The 23323-nt window shown below is 39.7% G+C and overlaps 1 protein-coding gene across 3 annotated transcripts in view; it reads left to right on the top strand.

The window, feature by feature from the left end:
- ERICH6 (glutamate rich 6) overlaps window positions 1-23323 on the top strand; it is a 44036-nt gene that overhangs the window by 13074 nt on the left and 7639 nt on the right. For all 3 annotated transcript variants that reach the window (NM_001308234.2, XM_005247120.4, NM_152394.5), the window contains exons 4-12: window positions 4493-4549; window positions 4826-4881; window positions 4989-5105; window positions 8531-8629; window positions 9917-10074; window positions 10309-10379; window positions 12293-12438; window positions 16806-16891; window positions 21396-21551. In NM_001308234.2, coding sequence (NP_001295163.1) covers window positions 4493-4549; window positions 4826-4881; window positions 4989-5105; window positions 8531-8629; window positions 9917-10074; window positions 10309-10379; window positions 12293-12438; window positions 16806-16891; window positions 21396-21551 — 946 coding nt within the window. The remainder of the gene's footprint in view (window positions 1-4492; window positions 4550-4825; window positions 4882-4988; window positions 5106-8530; window positions 8630-9916; window positions 10075-10308; window positions 10380-12292; window positions 12439-16805; window positions 16892-21395; window positions 21552-23323) is intronic.

Below are 23323 nucleotides of genomic sequence, written 5' to 3'. Positions count from 1 at the left end.
ATTAAAGATTATACAAGCAAAGATCATTTTGTCTTGGGCTGGGTTTATAGTTTTGTAACCCCTATGTCAAATTTTGACATCTTATCATATTTGGCAGGGATAAGTATGAAATTGCTTGATTAATAAATGCAGACAAAAATGTATGCTGACAATTCTTAAGACATTTCTAATATTACTTTACCAATAACTGAAAAGCTAGTTTATTTATTAAAGATTTTACTGAAGTTACATAAACTTGAAAAAGCACTTGACTGGTCTTTTCTTTTTTCCTGGTAAAGTATTTGATTAAAGTGTTTTTATTTTTCTTTAAGCCAATTAATTAGAGTTCTTTTATATCTTTTCAGTAATGAAACAGTGTGTACAAAACATGCAAATACATAGATATATTAGGCATGCCAATAGAAGTACATCTTATAGATTAATGAAAACCTTTTTTTTTTTCCCTATCTTAGACATTCAGATTCTTGATAACCTGTTTCACAACGCTAGGCAGTTTTCAGCTAAATAGACTTAAATTTGCATATTAAAGGAAACAACTCAGGTGAAAATCAAATAGCAAAATGTATATCATAACGTGTGGAGAGAAAAAGTCTGGTGTGCTAGAGGGAGATTAAAGATGGATGCCAAATCAAACATAAAATTATAAAAATCTTTCATAGTTTTGTATAAGGAGACCAGTTTCATTTAGACAGGGACTACCTATCTTTTAACTGGATCGCTGAGCTCTGGGCAAAGCCCATGCCGAATCCTAGGTTTCCAAAGAGGGAGAATTATTATGAGGCTAGACCACATCATATTTTTACAGTGCATGTAAAAAAAAATTTTTTTTAAACAAAGACATTTATAAGTGCCTAAACTACACCTGTCTTAAAAAACCCAAGAGTAACCTCTGTTGCAGTAACTATATCAGTTAATAAATCAGGTAACACAATACCGAGGAAAGCAGTTTAAAAGCTGAGCTGAACTTGTCTGTTTACACTCTTGGAGTTCCCATAAGGAAAAACAGCGTTCTCCCGCAAAGGGACTCTGGTACCTTCTCTGTTTTCTTTAAGGAACCCCAGGCTATTATAAACTATTTTAGGCTCCTCATGCAGCAGAGGGTACAAGAGAAAGGAGAGACAGCAGAAGTAAATGAAGAAAACAGAATTCAGTCAACTGAGAAGAAAAAAACTTTTGCTCAAAAAAAGGGACAAGATTCTAGGAGGAAAAAAGATAACATGAAGGCCTTTTAAATACAAACACACACATGCACACATACACACACACACATCTTGGATGTTAGCTTTTAATTAAGCTAATTTTAACCATTGAGCTTCTTTTAAAAAAATCTTTTAAAATCTCATTAGCATATTTCAGCTAGAAAAAATTGCTGCTATTTCAGAAGTACCAAGTATCAAACCAGAAAGGGCTTGATTTAGGAACAAAACCCAGGCTGTTGTGGTGGAAAAAAGAAGGCAAAACCTTAGCTATGGAACGGCAGCATGAGGCAACAACCACTGTTTCAGTTTGGCCTGGCTAGCAAAAAGGTGGCCTTGTTATGTAAAGATACAAAATATATGTTATATAAAATAGTTACCTGCCTTCTATTGTCATGGAAGCAGGAAAAAAATGACTTCCTTGAGTTGGAAGCAAGTAAAACTTCAAAAAAAGAGAAGTTGTACAGCAAAATAAAGTTTAGATCGTGACCAAATTTGAGGAGATCAGGGATTCTCTGGAGGGGGTGCTTCCAAGCCTCAGCAAATTGTCCTATTGGTTTGAGCCATACAGATAGCTCAAGCTAGTACCAAGCACCGATAGAAGATTTGTCAAATATCAGGGGTACCTCCACTCAGAATTCCTCTGTGGTTACTAAAATGTGAACCCCGAAAATCTGAGACAGGCCTCGGTTAATTTAGAAAGTTTATTTTACCAAGGTTGAGGATGCGCACCTGTGACACAGCCTCAGGAGGTCCTGGTGACATGTGCCCAAGGTGGTCAGAGCACAGTTTGGTTTTATACATTTTAGGAAGACATGAGACATCAATCAACATATGTAAGATGGATATTGGTTTCGTCTGGAAAGGCGGGACAACTCAAAGGCGGGACAACTCAAAGCCGGGAGGGGGCTCCCAGGTCGTAGGTAGAGAAGAGACAAATGATTGCATTCTTTTGAGTTTCTGATTAGCCTCTCCAAAGGAGGCAATCAGATATGCATTAATCTCAGTGAGCAGAGGCGTGACATTGAATAGAATGGGAGGCAGGTTTGCCCTAAGCAGTTCCCAGGTTGACTTTTCCTTTCAACTTAGTGATTTTGGGGCCCCAATATATTTTCCTTTCCCATAAACTACCCAGTTTAAGGCATTTTGTTATAGCAGCCCAAATGAACTAAGACAGCAATGTATCACGGACATCTCTCCATGTCAGGAATGATTGACCTAATTCTTTGAAGTTACTGCATAATATTTCGTCATATACAGTTATTGTGACTTATGTAATGCTAGACATATCGGGGTTGTTCTTGTCTTGTTTTGCTTTTTTGCTTTTTTTGAGCTCTTCCCTATAACAAATAATGTATTAATAAAAACCTTTGTGCATTAATTTTTTTACATACCTGTGCTGGCATTTCTATAGAGAAAGATGCCTAAAACATCTTTAAAATTTTTTCAGATGATCCACATTGCCCCCCAACCTCCCCAAAATAGATCAACTTCTTTTTTAAAAAAATTTATTTATTTGTTTATTTACTTTTTGAGACAAGGTCTTGCTCTGTCACCCAGGCTTCAGTGCAGTGGCGTGATCTCAGCTCACTACAGCCTCAACCTCCTGCTCCAGCAATCCTCCCACCTTAGCCCCCACTAACTGGGACCACAGGCATGCACCACCACAACCAGCTAATTTTTTTTAAAGTTTTTCATAGAGACCAGGTCTCAGTATTTTGCTCAGGCTGTTCTCAAACTCATGTACTCAAGTAATCTCCCCACCTTGGCCTCCCAGAGTTCTGGGATTACAGGCATGAGCTACCACACCCAGCCCAAATCAACTTCTGAAGCCTATCTGTCTCCAACAGCAGCCCTTGCTCTCCTGGCTTTGCTAAGAAAATGAGTCCCTTGCATTTTAATAGCCTCTTTCCTTTGCCTCTGTCCCATTATAGGTTGCTCTGATTGGTTTTTCATCATTCCAATCCTATGTGCTTTAAAGCTTCTAGACATTTACTCAAAGTTGCTGATTTGTGGATGGCTTCTTCCCCATTTCCAGTGCTGCTCTGGAATCTAGATAGAATAATCCTGGTGGTTTACTTCACTGTCTTGAAATAGAACCCTCAGCACCCTCCTACCTGAAAAATCTCATGAAGAATAACAGACATAAAGTAGATTGATGGTACTTAAAAGAAGCAGAAAACAAAAGGGTATGCAAAGCATGATTATAACCAAGGAAAATATTGATCTGTGTAGCATAATAGTCCCCTCTTATCTACAGTTTTATCTTCTGTGGTTTCAGCTGCCTGCAGTCTGAAAATGTTAGTGGGAAATTTCTGAAATAATCAACACGTAAGTCGTAAATTGCATGATATTCTGATTGAGTGACGAAATCTCTCACTATCCCACTCTGTCCTGCCTGGGACATGAATTATCTCTTTGTCGTTGGATTCACTTAGCAGCGTTGTGATTATCAGATCGACTGTAGTGGTATTGCAGTGCTTATGTTCAAATAACCCTTAATTTCTTTTATTTATTTTGAGACACACATTTGCTTGGTAGCCCACGTTGGAGTACAATGACACAATCTTGGCCCACTGCAGCCTCTGCCTCCCAGGTTCTACAGGTGCCTGTCAGCACACCTGGCTAATTTTTGTATTTTTAGTAGAGACAGGGTTTTGCCATGTTGGCTAGGCTGGTCTGGAACTCCTGACCTCAAGTGATCCACCCGCCTTGGCCTCCCAAAGTGCTGGGAATACAGGTGTGAGCCACTGCACCTAGCCCTCAGTTTCTTAATAATGGCCCCAGAGCTCAAGAGAAGTGATGTTGGCAATTTGGATATGCCAAAGAGCATCCATAAAGTGTATCCTTTAAGTGAAAAGGTAAAAGTTATTGACTTCATTTAAAAAAGAAAAAAATAGTATGCTGAGGTTGCTAAGATACATGCTAAGAATGAACCTTCTATCTGTAAAATTGTGAAGGAAAAAGAAATTTGTGCATAGTAGGGTTTGGTATACCTGCAGTTTCAGGCATCCACTCAGGATTTTGGAATATATCCCCTGCAGATCAAGGGGGACTACTGTATTCTAGGACTAGAAAGGAAGGGGAAACATTTTAAAATGTGATATATAGAATGCTAACTTTCCTTTGTTTATTCCTTATTGTCGGCAAAATGTTATTTGGAAAAAGAGACAAAAGATTAAAAGATAAAAGAAACATAGTAAGGGTAGTTATTTTTCTGAGAGATGTATTTTCTTTTATATTCAGCTTCTTTTCTACTTTGTCAGATTGATGACACATGTACCCTGTTTTCACAGGGAAGAAAGCCTCTAAAGAGAAAGCTGAACCTGAATGTCTGGCATCTAAGTTAAGAGGTAAATACATGTTTGGCATCATCTCCTTTTGCTGGCAAAGGTAAACTACCAGAAGGGAATCACCTTAACTCGCACAGAGCCCATCTGCTTTGAAAAAGGACTCACCTAAGAACAGGTGTGAGAAGGTGGCGAAAACGTCAGGGATCAGGGCATCTGAACAGTGTGTGCGTGCTGGGCAAGGAGGATGATGGTGGGTGTGAATCTCCAAATTACAGAAGTGGAATGCACTGCACAAAGGCTTTAAACATTTCTTATGAATCTATTCTTTCTCTCCAGAAAAATGGGTAATTAATCCAGAAGAGTCGAAACTAAATATTTTATATGAGCTGGAGGTAAGAAATGTTTATCATACTAACTAGTACACTGTTCTCATAGTAAAAATGGCTTATCAAATCTTCAATTATTTCCCCTCACCACCCCTTTCTCTTTTTAAATTTAGTTTAAGGAAGACTTCATAACACTGTTCGAGCCTTCTCTAAGAACGTTACCCAGCATCGGACCACCATCCATTCTGGCATACAAAGAAGAGAGCTCCAATTTAGGCATTAACTTCAAGGTGACTTTAATTCATGTTTCTTATTATTACTCTTAAAAAAATGACATAAGAAAACATAATGATTTGCACAATAGACAGTGAAAATACTCTAAAAGGAAAAAAAAAAAAAGCCAAAGAGCTCAATTACTTAGAATAGCACTTAGAGTGTCTGTGTTAGTTGCCTAGGGCTGCTATAACAGGTACCACAAACTGGGTGGCTTAAAACAACAGAAACTTACTGTCTTGTAGTTATGGAGACTAGAAGTTCGAAATCAGTGTTTTGGCAGGGCCAACATATAGGGGAAAATCCTCCCTTCCCTCTTCCTAGCTTGTGGTGGTGGCAGCAGTTTTGGCATTCCTTGGCTTGCAGCTGCATCACTCCAATCTCTGCCTCAGTTGTCACAGCATTCTCTCTGTGTGTCTGGGTCCAAATGTCCCCCTTTTCTAAGGACACCAAGTCCAGTTGGATTTGGGCCCACTCTCATGACCTCATCTTAACTTGATTACATTTGCACAGACTGTATTTCTCAATAAGGTCACATTCACAGGTACCAGGAGTTAGGACTTCAATATGTCTTTTTGGGAGACACAATTCAACCTGTAAGAGTGGCCGCAAAGCCTGGAAACAGGCCAGACACGGTGGCTCACACCTGTAATCCCAGCACTTTGGGAGGCTGAGACAGATCACTTGAGAGCAGCCTGGGTGACAGAGAGAGACCCTGTCTTTTTTAAAAAAATTATTATTATTTTTTTTTTTTGAGACAAGGTCTTGCTGTGTCACCCAGGCTACAGTGTAAGTGGCACGATTATGGTTCACTACAGTCTCAACCTCCTGGGCTCAAGCAATCCTCACCTCTGTCTCCCAAGTAGCTGGGACCACAGGTGTGAACCACTATGCCTAGATAATTTTTTAAATATTTTGCAGAGATGGGTCTCACTATGTTTCCCAGGCTTATTATTAAAAAAAAAAGAAAGAAAGAAAAAGAACAAAACCTGGAAACATGGGTGAATATTTGCTATATTTGGTCATGTGAAGTGACCGATTAATGCCTGTATTTGAAGGGCAAGAGAAAGTTTACCTCAAGTATTCCAATAAGATGGTGCACCACCACACTGCCGCTAGAGTGGTGAGGGACTGACTGGTGGAATGCTTGTTTCCAAACCTGGGCTGGATGCCATGGCCATGTGGAGAGAACTGCTTACTCCCCAGATCTGAGAACCCTTGATGACTTCTTCTTGGGCATAGTAAAGGTGGAGGTTTATTCATTAACAATAAGGGGCACGAATCATGCAAGGCAACATGTCATGGATGCACATGTAGAGATGAATGGAAATGCCGTATGGATGCACTGAGGTGGTGTTCATTGCTATTTTGTACAGCACTTTGAGCTATGCAATCTAGTGAGGGGAAACATTAAGTATATCATGTAATATAATATCTATAAACATTTACTCTTTATATTTACCCAGGTTTCTAAACTTTACGGTCACTCAACAGACTCTTCGGGCTGAAATTCTTTTGTTTTTTTATTTATTTATTGAAAAGATGTGGTCTCACTATATTGCCCAGGGTGGGCTGAACTCCTGGGCTCAAGCAATATCCCTACCCTGGCCTCCCAAAGTTCTGGGATTACAGGCATGAGCCATCACTTCCAGCCCTGAAATTCTTTATTTAAATGTAGCACCTTCCTTTTTCTGCACCACAAAGGCTTGTATCTAGGGATGTCTCTGAGGTTATACTCGCCTCCCGCAACACCCAGAGATGGGTCTTACCATGGGGAAGGCCTTGCGGCTTCTCCCCCAAGACGTCCCTGAACTGGCACTTGGACGAGGCTGGCTCCTCCTGCTCCTCAGCAGGTCTTTCAGGTCTAGTGATGATGCCAATCTAGTTCAGGGGTAGCAGTGGCTGGCTTGCCCAGCTCTTCTCTCTAGCCACACCCTCTTCAGGTGAAGATCCAAACTCCCCTCATGGTCTTTGTGTTTTTGTTTTTGTTTTGTTTTGAGATGGAGTCTCACTCTGTCACCCAAGCTGGAGTGCTGGAGTGCAGTGGCATGATCTTAGCTCACTGCAACCTCTGCCTCCCGGGTTCAAGCAATCCTCTTACCTTAGCCTCCCTAGTAGCTGGGACTACAGGCACACACCACCGTGCCTGGCTAATTTTTGAATTTTTAGCAGAGACAGGGTTTACCAGGCTGGTCTCCAATTCCTGACCTCAGGTGATCGGCCTGCCTCGGCCTCCCAAAGTGCGGGATTACAGGTGTGAGCCACCATGCCCGGCCTCCCTCATGGTCTTTTGAAGTATCTCCATCTTGCTTCACCCCTAGCTGAGGGTGAAAGGACAACGGGCTGAGAAGTTCACAACCAAGTCCCTTGTATGGAGCAGGTTGTGAATGGCTTGGTATTGCCCAGCTCTCTTTCTGTCCTACTCCATCATTTGATAGCTATCCTAGATTTTCCTCCATCATCTCTCTAGTGCGAGACTTCACTCTCCAAGCATTCTGCTTTTAGCAATGTGCAGTACTTACTATTGGGTAGTTTCAGTGGCCTAAATATGTTGGACATTACTCTGGGGTAGTGAATCCCTGGCTGCACTGGCCACCTTAGTCACTTTTTAGCCCTATGTCAGGCATTTTTGCCAGTCTCAGAGAATGGTTACCATGGCATATACAGATGCCCTGGTGTTGTTAATGATCTGCAAGTCATGATCTGGGTCTCTTCCTGGAGGCCTGTCCTGAGGCTTGGCTGCTCACCTGCTCAGGAGCCTGTGCAATCACAGACATGACCTCAGGTCATTGACATGGCCACTCCACATTGAGTCAGCTGAGCCCCTAACTCCCAATCTCTCCCTTGTTTTGTGTCCCCTCCTCCTCCCTGTCCTGAATTACCTTCACAATACAGACAAAATTCAGAGCTCCAACCTAGGCTCCCCAGAGAAAGGATTCTCATTTATTTTAGAAAGTTGGTCATTGTACATGTTGGCCTACACAGTAATGTCAAGGCTTTTTCTTACTTGGCATTTCTTGAAAGAGTTAATGATGTTCAAATACTTAGATCATTTGTATAAAATCCAGTGTGTGTTATCCTTATCTCTTGCATCTAGGTACACACTACACATTCCCCTCCCCAACAAGGGACTCTGGTATCCACAGTGAATTCATTTCTGCAACTTTCTTCTTATACCAGGAAGGCATTCTGAAGACCACACACTTCCTGATAGGCTCAACTCTGCTCTGGGGAATTGCACCAGACAGAGACCTGCAAAACACCACCTCAGGCTCCTGAAGCCTCACCAGCCCTTAAATGGAAGTGATATCACTTACTGGCACATCTCATCACCACTGCTGTTCCATTCACTGACCATGCCCAGGGTCGTGCTCCTGCTGCTCTCAGAGCCTCTGGGCCTCTTTGTGGGGACTTCTTTAATTTTTTTCCTCTCTCTCTGAAGGATGAAGAGGAGGAGACATCACCCAAATGTGAATTTTGTGGCAGCGATCTAAGAGCATTTTTTTCTAATGTGGATGTTTCCTCTGAACCAAAAGGGCATGTAAGTTCTAAGTCAGGTTTACTGTGGAAATAGTATTATCTTTAAACATATGTAGTATTTTCTCTTGCATCTTTCCCCTGCATTGCCATTTTTAAAAGAGTTAGGCCGGGCTTGATGGCTCACACCTGTAATCCTAGCACTTCGGGAGGCCGAGGTGGGTGGATTGCCTGAGCTCAGGAGTTCGAGACCAGCCTGGGCAACACGGTGAAACCCTGTGTCTACTAAAATACAAAAAATTAGCCGGGCATGGCGGTGTGCACCTGTAGTCCCAGCTACTTGGGAGGCTGTGGCAGGAGAATTGCTTGAACCCGGGAGACGGAGGTCGCAGTGAGCCAAGATCGTGCCACTGCACTCCAGCCTGGGCAACAGAGTGAGACTCTGTCTCCAAAAAAAAAAAAAAAAAAAAAAAAGAGTTATGTGTTAGCTGTCAGGGAAACGCAAATCACAAGCACAGTGGGATACCACTTCACACCCATTAGGATGGGTATAATTTAAAAGACAGATAATAACAAGTGTTGATAAAGATGTAGAGAAATTAGAACCCACATGTACTGCTGAGGTGGAATATAAAATGGTGCATCACTTTGGAAAACACTCTAGTAGTTCCTTGAAAGGTTCAACATACAGTAACCATATGACCCATCAGTTCTATTCCTAGGTTTATACCCAAGAAAATGGCAACATATGTCCACACAAAAACTTGTACAAAAATGTTGACAGCAGCATGATTCGTAATAGCCAAAATATAGAAACAACCCGACTGTCCATCAATGGATGAATGGATGAATAAAATGTGGTATATCCATACCACGAACTATTATTCAGCCATAAAAAGAAATGTGAAGTACTGAAACATGTCACCATATGGACAAATCCTGAAAACATTATGCTAAGTGAAAGAGGCCAGACATAAAGAGTGCCACATGTTGTATGGTTCCACTTTATAAACTGTACGGAACAGGCAAATTTAGAGAGACAGAATGTAAATTAGTGGTTGCCAGGGGCTGTGAAGAAGAAAGGAGAGGAAGTGACTGTTAGTGAGGACAGGTTTCAGATTCTAAAATTGATTGTGATGATGACTGTACAACTCTGTGAATATACTAAAACAAATGAATTGTACTTTTTAAATGGGTGAATTGTATGGTATGTGAATTATATCTTAATAAAGCTATTACCAGAATAAAAACTTATGATGGATTGTTATCCAAACCTTGTTAGTCATTTTTATCCCCTCTAATCCTCCTCATCTAGGACTAATGAGATGAGAGTAACTTCTGTGTTTTCCAGGCCTCCTGTTGTATTGCTTTCCAAAATCTGATTGACTATATCTATGAGGAGCAAATAAAAACCAAACCCCCTAAAGCTGAATTAATTGCTATTGACCCTCATGCAGCCCATGGTAGTGAGGTCGACAGACTCAAGGCAAAAGAAAAAGCCCTGCAAAGGTAACATTGAGACTTCGATACTGAAACTCATACAGGCCGGCTTAATCGGAGCTCGTTTTGTAAATGAACCTCATTTTTTCAAGATATATAACTTTGAAGATGTATTTCCTAGATTCACAAGTAATAACAGATCAAACAGACAAGGATGGCATTTAAGCAGCTGAATTTTGTAGTAGACTGTTTTAAGCTTCAACCACATTTCAGATTTATGCCTGATGTTTTCTGATTTTGTAGGAAACAGGAGCAACGAATGGCCAGACATTTTGCAATAATATCAAGGGAACAGACTCATTTCTCTGAAGATGGTGAGTTCATTAGTGCTGATCTTATAGACCAGCTGTACAACGTCAGAAAGCTCAGATGTTTAACCAAAAGATGAAATGGGTGTATTTAAAAAATAGTATTGGCCAGGTGCAGTGGCTCACGCCTGTAATCCCAACACTTTGGGAAGCCAAGGTGGGAGAATCGCTTGAGCCCAGAAGTTTGAGACCAGTCTGGGTAACATAGTGAGATCCTGTCTCTATGAAAAATAATAATAAGTAGTAGTATTGAAAAATTTTTATTTCTAAGTTCAGTATAGCCTACATCTGTCAAAATGGCCCAGAAAAGCTAGTGTTTCCAGCCATCTGGTTTTTGGAGTTTTCAGTCTTCATCTCATTGTTATTATTCATTGAAATAAATTAGCAACACCTACAGAGCACTTTACAGATAACTGCAAAGAGCTTTCAAGTTCATTGTCTCATATTTTATTAAGCATACTTTCCATTTTGTTTTCAAGCTTGGATATGGAAAATCTGTCAAAAATAAGTCAACTTGGCTGGGCGCGGTGGCTCACGCCTGTGATCCCAGCACTTTGGGAGGCTGAGGCGGGTGGATCGCCTGAGGTCAGGAGTTCGAGATCAGCCTGGCCAACATAGTGAAACCCCATCTCTACTAAAAATACAAAAATTAGCTGGGCATGGTGGCAGGCGCCTGTAATCTCAGCTACTCGGGAGGCTGAGGCAGGAGAATCACCTGAACCTGGGAGACAGAGGTAGCAGTAAGCCAGGATCGTGCCATTGACTCCAGCCTGGGCAACAAAAGAAAAACTGTCTCAAAAAAAAAAAGTCAGCTTATTTTCTTCATATATTAGTTGTCGTATAAGTTGGCTCACCAGTATCACTGTAGTACTGGTACAGTTGAAGAAACACTGAGTTTAGAATCAGAAGTCCTGGATTTATATCCTTGCTTTTCTCCTTACAGGCTGTCTGATTCGGGGTAAATGACTTAATCTTTCTGGGCATAAGCCTCCTCCTCTACCACCCAGAGCTACTGAAAAGATACTTAGATGGGAGCTAAGCTATGAGGACGCAAAAGCATAAGAATGATACAATGGACTTTAGGGATTCAGGGGGAAAGGGTGGGAGGGTAGTGAGGGATAAAAGACTTCACATCACTGCTCAGGTAGTAAGTGCACCTAAATCTCAGAAATTGCCACTAGAGAACTTATTCATGTAACCAAACACCACCTGTTCCCCAAAAACCTATTGAAATAATAAAATAAAAATAAATAAAAATAAAAGTTGAACTGCCAAAAAAAAAGATACTTAGAGAAGATATATTTTTATTTATTTTTGTAACTAAATCCCTAATACAAAGTTTCCTGATATCCAACTGTTAGAGTATCAGTTCTGCTAGAACTAAGGCCAGAAAGTTTCACTTAATGAAAATTGTCTTTTTTTTTTTTTTTTTTTTTTTGAGACAGAGTCTTGCTCTGTCACCCAGGCTGTAATGCAGTGGCACAATCTTGGCTCACTGCAACCTCTGCCTCCCGGTTCAATTTTCCTGCCTTAGCCTCACAAGCAGCTGGGATTACAGGCACACGCCACCACGCCCAGTTAATGTTTGTATTTTTGGCAGAGATGGGGCTTCACCATGTTGGTCAGGCTGGTCTCAAACTCCTGACCTCAAGTAATCCACCCGCCTCGACCTCCCAAAGTTCTGGGATTACAGGTGTGAGCCACTGTGCCCAGTCTCATTTTTCTTCTTTTAACAAAGGAATGTTCTCATTTTTTGACAAGGGGGAATAATAAAATTTTTAAAGATGATGAAAAATTTGAATATAAAAATGTCTTATGAATCAGTGCATTTATATTGGGGTTTGAAATTTCATTTTAGAAAAGAGGCTTTAGAAAATTTAAAACATATATGTATTTCTATGTGATTCTTTTCCCACTAGATTCAAAGCGCTTAAAAACAATTTCTTATCAACTTTCTGTGGATATTCCAGAAAAACAGATAATTGATGACATTGTATTTGATTTTCAACTAAGAAACAGTAACATGTCTATCATTTGTTGTGATTCTCGGATAGCATGTGGAAAGGTAATGAACTTGTAATTTTTTTACTTGCTATTTTAAAAAAAACCAGTTTTACCTAAAATTATAAAGTCTTTCATGAAGCTTGGCTACATGATGCATTTAACTAGTTGTCAAAAAGAATTGGTACAGACTTGGTCTTTTAACTTCTGCTAGACTTTATAACAATGTCATATGTTTGGGTTAAAGGCTGTTTACTTTAAAATGTAAGAGTTGCATATTAGAGAACATTTGGAACCCTTAGAAAATTAAAAGGAAGGGAAGAAAATTACCAAAAGTCCCAATCACTTCTCCCAAAACATTAATATTTCAATATTTTCTAGACTTGCACTGCCCAATATGGTAGCAATACTACATTTGGCTATTTAGACTTAAATTAAATTAAGAGTGTAATTTCTCAGTCACGCTAGCCATTCCACAAGTCCTAGACAGCTACATGTAACTAATGGCTACTGTACTGCAGTGATGATATAGAACATTTTTCTTGTAATCAAAAGTTATATTAGCACTGTTCTAGATGGTTTTCCTTGCATGGGTTTTTGTTAACATACTTATAATTGTATCATATATATAATTTTTATCTCTTTTTTAACTTAATTATAAAAACAAATTTTCCAAGACCAGGTACAGTGGCTCACACCTTTAATCCCAGCACTTTGGGAAGCCAAAGCAGGCGGATTGCTGGAATCCAGGAATTCAAGACCAGCCTGGACAACAAGACAAAACCCCATCTCTACAAAATAAAGAAAAATTAGCCATGCATGTTGACATGCACCTGTAGTCCCAGCCACTTGGGGGGGCTGAGGCAGGAGGATCCCTTGAGCCTGGGGGTGGAGGTTGCAGTGAACCGAGATTGTGCCACTGCACTCCAGCCTGGGTGACAGAGCAAAACTCTGTCTCAAAAAAAAAAAATTTTTTTTTCATGATATTATATAGTTTACATTAATATTATTTTCATAGCTATATAATTTATCATGTAGTTTAACCCATTTTTCTGTTCTCGGACATACTGATTCTTAACAATTTTTTTGCTATACTAAATACCATTTCCTTAAATATCCGTGTATGTAAGTACATTTCTATGTAAGTATAGTCCCTCAGAATAGACCTCTCGTAATTAAATTACTGAGACCTGGTTTGTTTAACTTGGGAGATATAGAATTTAAGGGGTGAACCAGGCAAACTGGCTTGCACCTGTAATCCCAGCTACTCAGGAGGCTAAGGTGGGAGGATCATTTGAGGCCAGGAGTTTGAAACCAGCCTGAGCAACATAGCAAAATCCCATCTCTAAAAAAATGTTTTTGGCTGGGTGTGTTGGCTCACGCCTGTAATCCTAGCACTTTGGGAGGCCAAGATGGGTGGAATGTGTGAGCTCAGGAGTTCGAGACCAGCCTGGGCAACATGGTGAAATCCCATCTCTACTAAAATACAAAAATTAGCCAGGTAAGGTGGCAGGCACCCGTAATCCCAGCTACTTGGGAGGCTGAGGCAGAGAATTGCTTGAACCTGGGAGACAGAGGTTGCAGTGAGCCAAGATCGCGCCATTGCACTCCAGCCTGGGCAACAGAGCAGGACTCTGTCTCAAAAAAAAAAAAATTTTTTTTTAATTAATTAGCTGGGCATGGCAGCACATGCCTGTAGGCTCACTTACTTGGGAGGTTGAGGCAGGAGAATCACCTGAGCTGAGGGGTTTGAGATAGCAGTGAGCTATGATCATGCACTCCAGCCTGGGTGACAGATCAAGACCCCCATCTCAAAACAAACAAACAAACCAAAAGAATGTAAGGGCTGTCAGTAAACCCAGGTGACTGGCAGAAGTAAATCCAAACTATCTTTGGAGGACGGTCACTAATTCCACCTTCAAATCACACCTACAAATTATTTTTCAAGTTCAGTTACCAGCACACAGTGAAAAATAACCAAGAACACAAGAAAACTTAACAATACAACTAAAAATCTAGAGGAATAATATCTAATAAGAAGAGACCTGAAAAGACTTTGGAAAATGAGGAAGTCTAACCGTGATCATGAAAATAAAAGATCAGCTTGAAGATATATGAAGGGAACAGAAAACTATAAACTGACATAGCAAATTTGAAATGGAAAAAAATGAACTGAAATGAAAATGAAAACTGCAACAGCTGAAATGAAAAATACAACAATCAAAATTAAAAACTTAAAAGATGAAAGCTGAGAGCAGGTTAGACTCCACTAAAGAAAGAACTACTGCCCAGGAAGAAAGGTTGAAAAGAAAAAATATCAAAACTCATTATGGGGATTAAAAAAGGCAAGAAACACAAGAGAGAGTGTATGGAACAAAAATAAAAAGAAAGGTCTAACGTGCATTTGTTCAAAATCCCAGAAGAAGAGAAAAAAAGATAATCAGGTAGAGGTAATATTTTAAAAGATAATGGATGATAATTTTTCAAAACTGATAAAAGAGACCAATCAACAGGTTTAAGAATCCCAGTGATCTCAAGCAGTATGAGAAAAAAAAAAAATTCTAGACACATCATAGTGAAACTGCAGAAAACCAAAGACCAAAAAAAAAAAAAAGGAAAGAAAGAAAGAATTATTAGAAGTAGCAGAGGAAAAAAAGTTCAGGTTACATTTAAAAGAAAACAATTAGATTAGCAGATGACCTCCCAACAGCAACAATAGAGGCTCAAAGGCAATGGAATGTCTTCAGTGTGGTAAAAAAAAAAAACAATGGCCAATCTAGAATTCTATACCCAGTTAAAATATATTTCAAGAAAGTGTAAGCTAGGTCAGGTGCAGTGGCTTACACCTGTAATCCCAGCCCTCTAGGAGACCAAAGCAGGCAGACCACCTAAGGTAGGGAGTTTGAGACCAGCCTGGCCAACATGGTGAAACCCCATCTCTACTAAAAATACAAAGATTAGCCAGGCGTGGTGGCACATGCCTGTAATCCCAGCTACTCAGGAGGCTGAGGCAGGAAAATCACTTGAACCCAGGGGGTGGAAGTTGCAGTGAGCTGAGATCTTACCACTGCACAGCAGCCTGGGCAACAGAGCAAGACTCTTGTCTCAAAAAAAAAAGTGTGAGATAAAGATAAGAGGATCACTTTATAAAATAAAGATAAAGATGATCACTTTTTAATTGACAAAATTTCAATCCACCAGTAAGATATAGCATTACAAAATACATTGTCCATATTAGCACAGCCTCAAAAATATGTGAAGCAAAATTTCACAGAAGTAAAAGGAGAAATAAAGAAAACCATATTCATAATGAGATATTTTAGCCTACCTCTTATTTTTTTTGAGACAGTCTTGCTCTGTTGCCCAGGCTGGAGTTCAGTAGCATGATCTCGGCTCACTGCAACCTCTGCTTCCCAGGTTCAAGCAATTCACTTGCCTCAGCCTCCCAAGTATCTGGGATTACAGGCGTGTGCCACCACGCCCAACTAATTTTTCTATGTTTAGTGAAGACAGGGTTTCACCATGTTGGCCAGGCTGGTCTCGAACTTCTGACCTCAGGTGATCCACCTGCCTCAGCCTCCCAAAGTACTGGGATTATGGGTGTGAGCCACTGCGCCCAGCACTACCTCTTTCAATAATTGACTACTAGACCAAGAAAAAAAAAAAAGGTTGGGGGGCAGTAATGCTATAGAAAATATGAGCAATCCATTTACCAAATTTGACCTAATGTTCATGGATAGGCAGAGGAAATATTTTAAAGATGACACTCTTTGATCATTCTTTCCAGAGTGATCCATAGATCCAGTATAATCTCAGATTCCAGCAAGATTGCATATGTGTGTGTATTGGGGGAAGGGAAGTCTTGACAAGTTGATTCTAAAATGTATGTGGAAATATAAAGAACCTAGAGTAACCAAAACACTCTTGAAGAAGAAGAGGCTGAGGAAAGGAGGATGTGTTCTACCAGAAATTAAGATCTATTACAAAATATAGTAATTAAGGCAGTATAGTATTGGGGCAGGATAAACAAGGAAATCCATATGCATAATAGAGTTCAGAAACAGACTCATGCATGCATGAATATCTGATTTATGATAGCAATGGCACTGCACATTGTGCTGGGGCTGGTTTTTATCTGCTTTTGTTTTGTTCTTTTAGTAACGTGTATAAAGTAAAAAAAAAAAAAAATTAAAATAGATATGTAATGTCAGATTTCTACCAGAAGGATTTTTATCAAGTTATACTTGCAAGGATTAGGGACAATCTGTTAATAATTGCTAAGGGTTGTCTCCTGTTGTTGAAGCAGGGCCAACATTTAAATTAATAATTGATTTGTATGACTGTCTAGTAACCAGCTGATGTCCATTGTTGTCGTACTTACTACTTTATGTCCGAAACAATTAAGTGTCTTTTCTTTTCTGTGGTGTATAGGTTGTCAGGAATGAGCTCTTAGAGAAGCACTACAAACATGGGAGCAAGTTTCTGACTTCATTTCCAGATGGGACAACACAAATATTGTATCCTCTTTCAACAAGTTATTTTTATTAGCTTTATTACTTCAAAAAAAAGAAAGCTCAAGGAAGGAAATACATGGTTGGGTGCAGTGGCTCACACCTGTAATGCCAGCACTTTGGGAGGCTGAGGTGGGCAGATCACTTGAGCTCAGAAGGTTGAGACCAGCCTGGGCAACATGGCAAAACTCCGTCTCCACAAAGTGTTAGCTGGGCGTGATGGCACATGCCTGTAGTCTCAGCTACTCGGGAGACTGAAGTAGAAGGATCATCTGGGCTCAGGAGGTAGAGGCTGCAGTGAACTGAGATTGTGCCACTGCACTCCAGCATGGGCAACGAAGTGGGACCGTGTCTCAGAAAAACAAACAAACAAACAAACAAAACACAGAAAAAGATAAAGATCCAGTGTAATTGAAAAATAGAAATTTTAACTAAAAAGACATAAATAGAAAGATAAAACAAAACTATAAAGGAACTTAGTGTGGTGGCTTACGCTTATAATCCCAGCACTTTGGGAGGCTGAGGCAGGAGGATTACTTGAGCCCAGGGGTTTGAGATCAGCCTGAGCAGCATAGTGAGAGCTCATCTCTACAAAAAATAAGAAAATTAGCCAGGTGTGGTGGTACACACCTTGAAGTCCTGGCTACTCAGGAGGCTGAGGTGAAAGGATTGCTTGAGCCCGAGGGGTCAAGGCTGCAGTGAGCCATCATCATGCCACTGCACTCCAGCCTAAATGACAGAGCAAGACCAAGAAAGAAAGAAAGAGAGAGGAAAGAGAGGAAGAAAGAGAAAGACGGATGGAAGGGAGGGAGGAAGGAAGGAAGGAAGGAAGAAGGAAGGAAGGAAGGAAAAAGGAAGGAAGGAAGGAAGGAGAGACTACCCTCAAATTCTACCACCCAAAGAAAAGATGTTAGCATTTTATTACTATTGTTTTTTTAAGACAGGGTCTCACTGTGAGGCCCGGGTTAGAGTGCAGTGGCACAATTATGACCCACTGCAACCTCAACCTCCTGGGTTCAAGCAGTCCCCCCAACTCAGCATCCTAAGTAGCTGGGACCACAGGCATGCACCACTACACCTGGCTAATTTTTTAAATTTTGGTAGAGATGGGGTCTCTCTATGTTGCCCAGGCTGGTCTTGAACTCCTGGGTGCAAGCGATCCTCCCACCCCAGTCTCCCAAATGGCTGAGATTACAGGTGTGAGCCACTGTGTCTGGCCAGCATTTAAAAATATATGTTTTTTTGGCTATTCTGAACACAATTCCTATGGAGTAGCCCTGCTCCACGAAGAGCAATTAAAAAAAAAAAGAAAAGAGAAAAATAAAAAAAGAAAAAGAAAAATATATGGTTTTTGTTTGTTTGTTTGTTTTTTGAGACATAGTCTCACCTAGGCTGTAGTGCAGTAGTGGGATCTTGGCTCACTGCAACCTCCACCTCCCAGGTTCAAGCAATTTTCCTGCCTCAGCCTCCCGAGTAGCTGGGATTACAGGCACATGCCACCACGCCCAGCTAATTTTTGTATTTTTAGTAGAGACAGGGTTTCGCTATGTTGCCAAGGCTGGTCTTGAACTCTTGAATTCAGGTAACCTGCTCACCTTGGCCTCCCAAAGTGCTGGGATTACAGGCATGAGCCACCACACCCGGCCTATGGGGTTTTTTAAAATGTTTTTTCTGTGTATGAGCATATATATATATATGTATATATAAATGGATTCTTTGTTTATTCATATTTTCTGACTCCTTTACATAATGAAATTATACAATAATGTTATAAATATATGATATGCAATAAATATAAAGATACAACACATTTTTTCCCCAAAAAACCATCCACAGGTAGCAACACCGTTTTATAACCACATAGTACTTTATTATATAGATGTACTATAATTCATTTAACCTATCCCCTATTACTGAACAAAAGTGGTTTCACAATTTTTGCTATTATACACAACAGCTAAATAAACAGCTTTGTGCATACTTTGTGGCATAGTTACCACTTATTTTCTTGAATTAAATACCTAGGGGTTGAGGCTGGGCATGGTGACCCATGCCTATAATCCCAGCCCTTTGAGAGGCCACAGTGGGCAGATCGCATGAGCTCAGCAATTTGAGATCAGCCTGGGCAACATGGTGAAAGCCTGTGTCTACAACAAAATACAAAAAATTAGCCAGGTGTTGTGGTGCACACCTGTAGTTACAGCTACCTGGAAGGCTGAGGTGGGAGGATTTTTCTGAGCCAGAGAGGTGGAGGCTGCAGTGAGCTGTGATCGTGCCATTGCACTCTGACCTGGGCAACACAGCAAGACCCTATCTCAAAAAATTAAATAAATAAGTAAATAAATAAATAAACATATAGGGCTAGAAATTCTGGAAGAATAATTTGGACATTTTAAAGCTTTGATAGATTTTGCCATCCCTCCACCCCAGAAAATATATACCAGTTTACACACCCATGAGTGGTGGACAATTTTTAATACCAAAATTAAATATCCATTTCATGGAACACCAAGTTATTGATCACTTGGACTTTCTGCCTGATGGCCAGGTCATTCATTTAATATTTAAACTTTTTGAGCTTTTCAGATCCTCATAATATCTGAGGAAAGTAAAAACAAGAAGCAAAAAAATGAGGAGGCTTTTCATGAACTGAGAGCCTCCCCCTGTAGAAGAAAGTCATTTTTGGTCATCGTTTCGTAAGTGTTTACTTAAACCCCAATAGTAAGCCAGAAAAATGACTTTCACAGAATAGGAAGCATAATGAAGTTTTAGTTCCCTAGACCTTATGAGAGTGTGTAGGTTTTGTTTTAATTACATCAATAAATTTTAAATAATTTACCTGACCTAAAAATTTTTTTAAAGTTTTTAGAGACAGAATCCTATTATGTTGCCTAGGCTGGCCTCAAACTCCTGGGCTCAGGTGACCCTCCCACCTCAGTCTCCCAAGCAGCTGGGACTACAGGCTGTGTCTGTATAAAAACCATATAAAAATATACAGTTTTCCAACTTTTATTATTAATCATTTCATGCCCTGACTTTATTCCTCTTAACTTTCTTGAAGGCTGTGGTTGATTTGCAAAATGATTTAGAATCAATCTTGTGTTTATTTCTGGACTTCTAACCAGCCTGGATATGGAAATGAGTATTAAGAGTTAGTGAATTATCTTCAGTATATTTTATTGCTTTTGATGCTATTGAAAATAGAATTGCTTTCTTAATCTCATTTTTAGAATGTCTACTGTTAGTGTATAGAAATACAATTTATTTTTGTATATTGATCTTGTAGCTTACAACCCTGCTGAACTCATTTATCGGGTTTAATACATTATCTTATGAATTCCTTAGGATTTTCTATATACAAGAACATGTCATCTGCTAATAGGTACAGTTTTACTTCCCTTTCCAATCTGGATGCTTTTCATTTCCTTTTTTTTTTCCCTAAACTTCCATGGCTAGAACTTTTTTTTTTTTTTTTTTTTTGAGATGGAGTCTTGCCCTGTCACCCAGGCTAGAGTGCAGTGGCACGATCTTGGCTCACTGCAACCTCCGCCTCCCAGGTTCAAGCAATTCTCCTGCCTCAGCCTCCTGAGTAGCTGGGACTACAGGTGCACACCACCATGCCTGGCTATTTTTGTAATTTTAGTAGAGATGGGGTTTCACCATGTTGGCAAGGATGATCTCAATCTCCTGACCTCATGATCCACCCGCCTCAGCCTCCCCAAGTGCTGAGATTACAGGTGTGAGCCACCACGCCCAGCCAGAACATCTATTAATAGTGCGATGTTGAATAGAAGTAGTAAGAGTGGACATTTTTGTTTAGTTTCTGATCTTAGGAAGAAAGCACTAAATCTTTCACCATTAAGTATAGTTTTAATTGTGGGTTTTTTTAAATTAAAAAAATCAAAATTCTGAAGATGAAAAAAATTGTTTTGTAGAGACAGGGTCTTACCATATTGCCCAGGCTGGTCTGGAACTCCTGGGCTTCAACAATCCTCCTGCCTTGGCCTCCGTAAGTGCTGGGATTATGGGCATGAGCCACCATGCCCAGCCCAGCTGTGGGCTTTTTGTAGATACTCTTTATCAGGTTGAGGACATTCATTCCTATTTGAAATCCATTGAGTTTTCTTATTATTAAGAGGGCTGAAACTTGTCAAATGCTTTTTCTGTGTCTGTTGAGATGACCTTGTGTTTTTTGCTCTTTATTAATATGGTATATTAAGTTATTTTCAGATGTTAAACCAACCTTGCATATCTGGGGTAAACCCTACTTCATCATGGTGCGTAATCCTTTTTATATTGTGACAGTTCATTTGCAAGATTTTGTTGAGGATTTTTGCATCTCATGAGTATATTCTGATCCACATAAAAAGCATAAAATCTTTTGTATTAATATAGTACCTCCCATTTTCAGAATGCTTTATGATTTCAGAGTGCTCTCTCATAAATTGAATTTGTTCCCAGAATAGTCAAGGAGCATTAGAACAATTTATATGACCTTATCTGATCTCAGCTATCCATCTGGAAACCTAGCCATCATTCGAGTGCCCAACAAGGTAAATGGTTTTACTTGTATAGTCCAAGAAGATATGCCCACTAACCCTGCTATCCTAGCAGTGCTGGATTCCTCTGGCAGAAGTTCCTGCTATCATCCCAATGGAAATGTCTGGTAAGCTTCTAGGTTCCTGCTGCTGCCATTTTGTGGCTTTTGTTCTGGGAAATTTTGTTTTTTCTTTTTAAATGATAAGAATGGGTTTCAGAAGATTTATTTAAGTTAGTGTTCTTTAGATGGTAATGTTCAACTCAGAGACATTTTTGGTTTACACCATTCCGTATGCTTTTCAGTGGAAAAATCCCAAGCAATTATAAAAATAAAGCTCATCATATTATTTCTATACATAGTAAGAATATATGAACTATATAATTACAACATACAAAAAAACTTGATAAATGATATGGTAACTCTAGGGATTTGGGATGTAACTGAGGCAGTCTCTAGAGCCTGTGCCCTGATGATGTTATTCTGCTTCATCTATGTAAACAACTTGTCAATAGACAGTTGATACACTATGTTGTTATTGTTTGAGATACATTCCTAACTAGTAAGCTTCCTATAGCCACAAGCAAGAAGAGTAACATACACACAAAATCTCCAGAGAAATTAAGATCCTGGTCCCAATTTAACCTACTATGTATATACTCTGTGACTTCATTTAGCCTGACAAAGTGAAATTTGGGTTCTAACTTCCAATACAATTTAAACTTTTTGAACTTTTCAGAAAGAGGTCTTTTCCTTTAAGTTATATACAGGTATAACAATCTCATCTCGGGAACCTCTGCCAGTAATTGGTGAAGTTTATATACTGCTAGTCCTTCAGAAAGTTAGGATACCGAGCTATTTGTGTTTTTCGTCCACAGCAGTAGTCAATTCATTACCACCATGTATATTGGAAACTTTCTACTTATCTTTCAGGATTCTACAGCAATTCTATGTTACCTTTGATGCAGTGCTATACTGTCACCAATATTCGTTGGTTTCTAGACTGGAAACCAATCGGTTCTTCCAGATTGGTTTTATGAAGCCCCTGCCCCATAAACTGAACTCCGAGGCACCCTGAGATGGCTCCTTGATACTCTCATAGCCCTCTCTGCCTCTTGTGTAGTGAGTCCATTTCCCTTACTTGACAGACATTCCTTGAGGGCACATCCTGAATCTTTGCTACTACATAGCAGCACATCTGTACATAGTGTAGACTCAAAGAATGTTTACTAAATAAACAAGGGACTGATTTAGCCAGATAATTTTAGCTGGATATTATTTTCACCCAGATTTCAAGATAAAACTAAATCTTCCCTTCCTAGACACAATCAGATAATCACCTCAGTTTCTCATTTGTGCTTTTGTTATTAGATTACTACCACTGATCAATACTGGGTCCAATTTAACCTACTATGTATATACTCTGTAACTTCATATTATTTCATTTAGCCTGACAAAGTGAAATTTGGGTTCTAACTTCAAATACAATTTAAACTTTTTGAACTTTTTAGAAAGAGGTCTTTTCCTTTAAGTTATATACAGGTATAACAATAACATCTCTAACATGAGATGTTAGCTAGGGGTCCCCATGGCCAAGTCATCTAGTTTTCAAAAAATAATTTATTATCAAATTAAGCCAACTTTCTGAGTACCCAGAACACTATATCTACTGTCTCTCCTCAAGGTGGGGATGGTAAGAGGGTATGAGAAGGAGATAACTGAATAGAATGGCACAGCGATTAGTGCTGCCAGATCTCAGATGGTGAGGGGCTAAACGTGATGTAGTAAAATGTAAGGCATTCATGGTCTGAAGAGATGGGGTCGCCTCGTGGGTCTAAGGTCCACCTTTGCTCTGTCACAGACCTCTTCTCCACTGCAGTGATCACAGAGGTGTTCCCTGA

The sequence above is a fragment of the Homo sapiens genome, chromosome 3 (assembly GCF_000001405.40).
Source record: "Homo sapiens chromosome 3, GRCh38.p14 Primary Assembly".
Taxonomy (NCBI): Eukaryota; Metazoa; Chordata; class Mammalia; order Primates; family Hominidae; genus Homo; species Homo sapiens.
The sequence above is the reverse complement of the archived record's forward strand: the minus strand, read 5'-3'. Positions and strand labels throughout refer to the sequence as shown.